The sequence below is a fragment of the Homo sapiens genome, chromosome 1 (assembly GCF_000001405.40).
Source record: "Homo sapiens chromosome 1, GRCh38.p14 Primary Assembly".
In the NCBI taxonomy this organism is placed as follows: domain Eukaryota; kingdom Metazoa; phylum Chordata; class Mammalia; order Primates; family Hominidae; genus Homo; species Homo sapiens.
Window position 1 is genome coordinate 175,859,023 of NC_000001.11, and position 6,004 is coordinate 175,865,026.

The 6,004-nt window shown below is 47.9% G+C and overlaps 2 annotated features.

Annotated features, from left to right (window-relative positions):
• Positions 1,387 to 1,888: an enhancer, noted in NCBI's record as "H3K4me1 hESC enhancer chr1:175829545-175830046 (GRCh37/hg19 assembly coordinates)". NCBI's record gives its function as "activates a minimal SCP1, AML or CMV promoter by ChIP-STARR-seq in naive H9 embryonic stem cells {active_cell/tissue: H9 hESC(naive)}" and the evidence as "EXISTENCE:reporter gene assay evidence [ECO:0000049][PMID:30033119]".
• Positions 1,889 to 2,388: an enhancer, noted in NCBI's record as "H3K4me1 hESC enhancer chr1:175830047-175830546 (GRCh37/hg19 assembly coordinates)". NCBI's record gives its function as "activates a minimal SCP1, AML or CMV promoter by ChIP-STARR-seq in naive H9 embryonic stem cells {active_cell/tissue: H9 hESC(naive)}" and the evidence as "EXISTENCE:reporter gene assay evidence [ECO:0000049][PMID:30033119]".

Genomic DNA, 6,004 nt, shown 5'->3' on the forward strand with positions numbered 1-6,004 from the left:
CTATAGCACAATATCACAACTAGAAAATTGTCTTGATACCACCCACTGAGCTTATTCAGATTTCACCAGTTCTTACATGTCCATATTTTGTTCTACACAATTTTATCTCATGTAGATTCGTGTGACCACCACCACAGCCAAGGTATAGAACAGTTGTCACAAGGATCCCTTTTACAAACAGTAAAAGGGCTGCTCCCCAGCCCTGAGCAACTACTAACCTGTTCTCCATTTCTGTAATTTTGCCACTCCAAGTCATAAAAATGGAACCATACAGTATATAATCTTTTGAGACTGGCTTTTTTCACTTTGCATAATAGTCTTGAGGTCCACCTAACTTGTTGCATGTATCAACGGTTTGTTCTTTTTATATTGCTGTATTCTGTTATTCCACTGTATGGATGCCTACAGTTTATTTAAGCATTCACCTTTTGAAGGACACTTGAGTTGTTTCCAGTTTGGGTCTATTACAAATAAAGCTACCAGGAACCTCTGTGTAGAGGTTTTGTGTAAACATAAGTTTTCATTCCTCTGGTGTGAATGGTCAAGACTGCAATTGCTGGGTTGTATGGTAAGCACATACTGTTCTTCTTCTTTTAATTGTAGAGACAGGGTCTCACTCTGTCGCATAGGCTGGAGTGCAGTGGCCCCATCACATCTCACTGCAACCTCCATCTCCCCAGCTCATGCAATCATCTTGCCTCAGCCTCCTGAGTAGCCGGGACTACAGGCATGCACCACTATGCCTGGCTACTTTTCCTATTTTTTGTAGAGATGGGGACTCACTATGTTGCCCAGGCTGGCCTCAAACTCCTGGGCTCAAGCAATCTGCCTGTCCCAGCCTCCCAAAGTGCTAGGATTACAGGCATGAGCCACTGCACCCGGCCCACATACTATTATTTTTAAAATATGGCACTGATTCACCTCTTTTAAACATAAAATGATAACATACTGTTTGTATATTCTTCTGTAACTCACTTCTCTCACTCAACATATGTTCCCTCCATCTCATCCATGTTGATATATGTAGCTTTAGGGTATTGATTTGTACTATTATATATTACACCATCATATGAGTATACTATAATTTATTTCTCATGCTAATTCTGATTTTGGAAAGCATAAAATCTTCACAAGGCAATGGGTTTGGTAGGAAAGAAAGTAACATCTTCCTTGTTTTAAGATAGAATAATTTGAGGAAAGCTTTAACTTGTCTTAAAGATAAGACTTGGATATTTAGTCCTAGTACTTCCCACTAGATTCCCTTGGTAGTCAATTAACCTTTCTGAGCTCAATTTTCTCATCTGTAAAATGAGAATCTCAAGAATAATAACAGTAATAATAATAATATTTGCCTTAATACATGTAGGAATTAAAAGAAAATATATGAACTAAACTATAACATGCTGAATAAGTGAAAATTACTTTTGTTGGTTAATAATTATAATTAAATACCTTTTTCACCAAGGGGCACAACAACCAAACTGTACATGATGGACTTTTCAAGAAAAATTCAATTTCAAATGATCTCCCCTCATTGTCCCCCTAAATTGCTTTGTCACACTCATCCCACTTTGGGGATCAGAATATACTACATGTACACAAGGTCAGGGTAACTGTGGAGGTCCTAGCTCTGACCTACCTTTAAGATGGAGATTGTTATCCTGGAGTACAGATGGGGAAACTGAGGCCCAAGATCACACAAGAGCTGGACTCCATTGCCTGTAGCCTAGATCCATCGACCACATTCCTCCAACTTCCTCAGCTGTGTGAAGGGGCTTCGGGAACCCCTGGGTGGCCCCATGCTCAGCATCCAGGCTCAGAGTGGAGGGGCAGCTCCAGGTCCATGTCTAGGTGGCAAGAGGCCCTTCCCTGTGGCCGGCTCCCCTGAGGACCGCCCACCTATCCATTGCTGGATTGCTGGGCTAAGCAACAGCCACAGGGTGACATGACAACAGTCTCCAAATATTTAAAAAGTGTGAGTCCTCAGGAAGGAGAATTTTTCTGGCCTGGAATGAGGAGGGGGAGGCAGTGATGGGGGCTGGCTGGTGGGAAGCAGTGATATCAAATTTAGAAGGCACCTGGAAGTCAGGTCTGGAGCCGCTTTCCCTTGCTTTGCCTCAGTTTCTCTTCCTGTAAAGGACTGGATGTTTGGATATTCTCTAAGATCCTAAGATCCAATGCAACTCTAGAATATTCTTTGGGGAAAACTTTTTTAAAACTTTTGCATCCCGACAGCAAGGTACTGCCTGTCCCTCAGGGGAGGTAGAGAAAGGAACAGCCTCCTGCGGAGCTCACCGTGAGGGGACCAGGGACTGGAGTATCCCAGCCATTTGACTTGGCGTCTGGGCACTTTCCAGCCTCTCTGCAGAGTCCCTGCCCCTGCCTCGCAGTGCACTGTAGCTGGAAAATGTTCAGGGGTGGCAGGCTGTGTAGGATGGGGAGGCAGAGGGCCCGTTGTGAAGAATTTCATCCTAGTTCTGAAAAGAGCATTCCTTGAAGCCTTGTTTTCCAACGTGTGACCCACTGAGCTACAGGTCCTGGGCCCCATCCGCTCAGAGCAGTCCCGAGGAGAGGATCAGACACTGATTTTCCAAACAAGTGCAGAGTGAATCTCGCAGGTGCTCACGTTTGAGAGCTGTGGGTCACTGGAAAGACCCCAGAGAGTGAAAAAGCCAAAATCACCACCTGAGAAAGTCACTCAACCTTTCAGGGCCTTAGTTTCTCACCTGAAAGCGCGAATAACGATATTTCAATGCCCACCTCACATGGGTTGCGTGAGGACAAAGGGCAAGGCCACTTTCCAGGCTGTAAACCCATAAAAGCTGGAACAATAGTGGTCTCAGGTGTGAAGGAAGACAGGTGCGCAGGGGAAGGCTCTCTAACCCTCCTCACCAGGCCCTTTTTCTCCTCTCTTCCTTTTCTTTTTTTAAACAGTGTATTGCAATATAATTTATCCACTTAAAGCATATAATTCAATGGGTTTTGGTATATTACATTCTCAATTTTTCCAAATTGTGTTAAAATATATATAACATAAAATTTGTCATTTTAACATTTTGAAGTACACAATTCAGTGGCATTAATCACATTCACTATACTGTAGAACCATCATCACTATCTATGCCAAAACTTTTCACCTGAAACAGAAACTCTGTCTCCATTAACCCATAACTCCCCGTTCCTCCCTCCCCCCAGCTCCTTGGTAACCTATTCATAGAATTTACTTTCTGTCTCTGTGAATTTGCTGCCCTAGGTATTTCATAAATGGAATCATATTTGTTGTTTTGTCTCTGGCTTATTTCCCTTAGGATAATGTTTTCAGTGTTCATCCATGTTGTAACATGTAGCAGAACTCATTCCTTTTTATGGCTGGACTCTTCATTTTGATAGAATAAAATGTGTTCCCAGCACCACTATATGCATTTACAAATACTAATTCCTGTCCTCCTCACGGACAACCCTATAAGGTTAGGACACTTAGTATCTCCATTTCAGAGGATAAGACACAGAGGGTCAAGCATCTTGTCTGAAACGACACAGCCAGTCAGCAGGGAGCCAGGAGTGCACCCAAGGCCAGAGTCCAGTTGTCAGCCACTGCAACCCTGCCTCCTGCTCTGTGAGGCTCCTTCTCTCCCACGCCCTCCCCACTCCCTTGTCCTCCACAGCACACCCTTTTTAGCTCTTTGAGTTCTTCTGGGGGTTCCTGGTGAACATTCCTCCTTTCCAGGTGGACCTTCCTCCTTTCCAGGCTGCTGGATACCCCACCTGTGTTGCCTCTGCCAGCTGTTTCTCAGGGCGTGGGATCAAACCATCTGGAGGGCTTTGCTGTCCTCACGCACTGATCTGTTTTCCACGAAGCCCTGCATTTGGGATGGCCCCACCACACCAGAGAGGCCAAGGACAGGCCTGTAGCCAGGACGGGTGGGACAGCAGTCACAAACCTAGCCCCCTGAGCCACAGGTCACCCAACAGTCATGACCCCAGCAGATCTTCCAGAGGCCTGGCCCAGACCTCTTCTGCCATGCACACCTGTTTTCTCGGGGGAGAGAGGGCAGTCCGAGGTCCCTTTCTAATACGGTCTCTGATAGAAAATGTCTAACTGGACTCATCACCATTCCTGGAAAAGTAAAAAACAGCTCCTGCCCCGCCCTCCAGTCACAAAGACTGAGCACCCCCCACCCCCGCCCTTTGTCCCTGGTCCTCTTCCTCATTCCCAGGTCCAGTCCCCTCTTTCCTCCCCTTCTGTCCCCAAGGCCACCCCTCACACAGTGCATCCACATGTCACAGGCCCACAGCTCCTCATCCAGAACCTGGGGGGCCCAAGGTGTCTTAGAATTTGGAAGGGTTTGATTTTAGAACAATGATGTGACGCTTATCCCCTGTGGTATGTCCCATCCCAGCCCTTGCTGGGCAACTCCCTGCAATCAGGCACCTTGATACCTCTGCAGACAGAGGCATGAATATTCACACCAAGCGGGATAAATAAAAGACTATAAATAGCCTCGGTTCAGGGCGGGCTTTGCCTTCCAATGAGTTACACACAGACTCTGCTTTCTGGTTTTGTACTTCAAACCTGCGGGTAGAACAGTCAGGGCTGGACTCAGTCCTGGCCTCCTCTTATACCTGAGCTGTTACCCATTCCCTTCCTAGTTGTCACCTCCAGTCCACAGACATGCCTGTGGTCAACCAGTGGACCCCTGCAGCCCACTCCTCCATTCCTGTCACCCTCTGCTCCGAGACCTTTTAGACCACCCTGAAGAACACTGAGTTCCTCGTGCCTCCCTCAGCTGCTTCTCCCACGCGCCAGGTGCAGCTGGGCCCCCGGACCCATCAATGGGGCCTTTCATTTTACAGGCTTCTCCGGGCACAAAGCTGGACAGTATTCTTCCTCTGTGACATGAGGTTTTAAGTTTATGGTGAGGTGAAGTGCAGGCTGTTGGTTCAGATAGAGGAGTCGCTCGAGGAGGCTGAGGAAAGTGCTTTGCACAGTGGGGTGGATGGCGCAGAGCTGCTCTGTCTCAGGTGTTCATCCTGGTCACTACCTGTTTGGTGGACAAGTGTGCGTCTTGTACCCTCCGCATGAGGCCCGAGGGTGGACACTGAAGGAGCAGTTTTCACCAGGATGTCCTGAGTCACGGGAACATAGGCAAGGCGACTTTGGGGCCCAGGACACAGCATGTAATCAGAATGGCGACGAGGGCAAAGGCTAGCTTTTGTATGAATTATAAAATGCTGTTGTGCAAACTATAATAAGGCTTCCCCTCCAGGAGGGGAGGCCAGAAGACCCATGGTTCAGCACGGGGTTCAGCCCTTCTCTCTCCTGCCTTGGCTCAGCACCCTGTGTGGATCACAAATCATATTGTACACTGTGACCCCCAGTGGTGCCTTGCCCATCCTACACATGGACTTCAGGGAGGGCTTTAGGGAGGGAGGGCTGTGTGCATGGCGGTGGTCTTTAGGGACGGTGGGCTGCGTGCACGGCCCACCAGAGTTGGCAGCTCCTGGAGCATCTCTTTCCAGAAAGGCAGTAGGGAAGTCAACCCCTAAATGGCTTTGAGGACAGCCAACACTGGGAATCTTGGAGGATTGGTGGGGTGTGTTTTGCAGATGAGGGGTGACACACAGATTAGTGACTGTTGAATTATCACCCCCTTAGTACCCACAAACTGAGGAGCCCAGGGGGTTTAAAGGCCCTTTGGACCTCAGGCAGTTATAGCAGCCCTCAGCCTAGTTCTCCAGAATTGGTTGCCCCTGCAGAGGTGAAATCAGGAGGGAAGCTACCATCCCGCGTGGAGCAGGTCAGAAAGGGGAGCAGGAGAGTGGTCCCATCACACAGCCTTGGGTAGGGAGCTGCCTCTTACCTGCCAGGTTCTTCAAGGCACCCTTCTGTACCCCAAGGCCCCAGGCACACTAAGGAAGTGCAGTGAGCACAGGAGGAGAGGAGGCAAGGGGAAGACCATTAAGCAAAAAACGGATGACAAATAAAGACAAATGGAGAGAAACA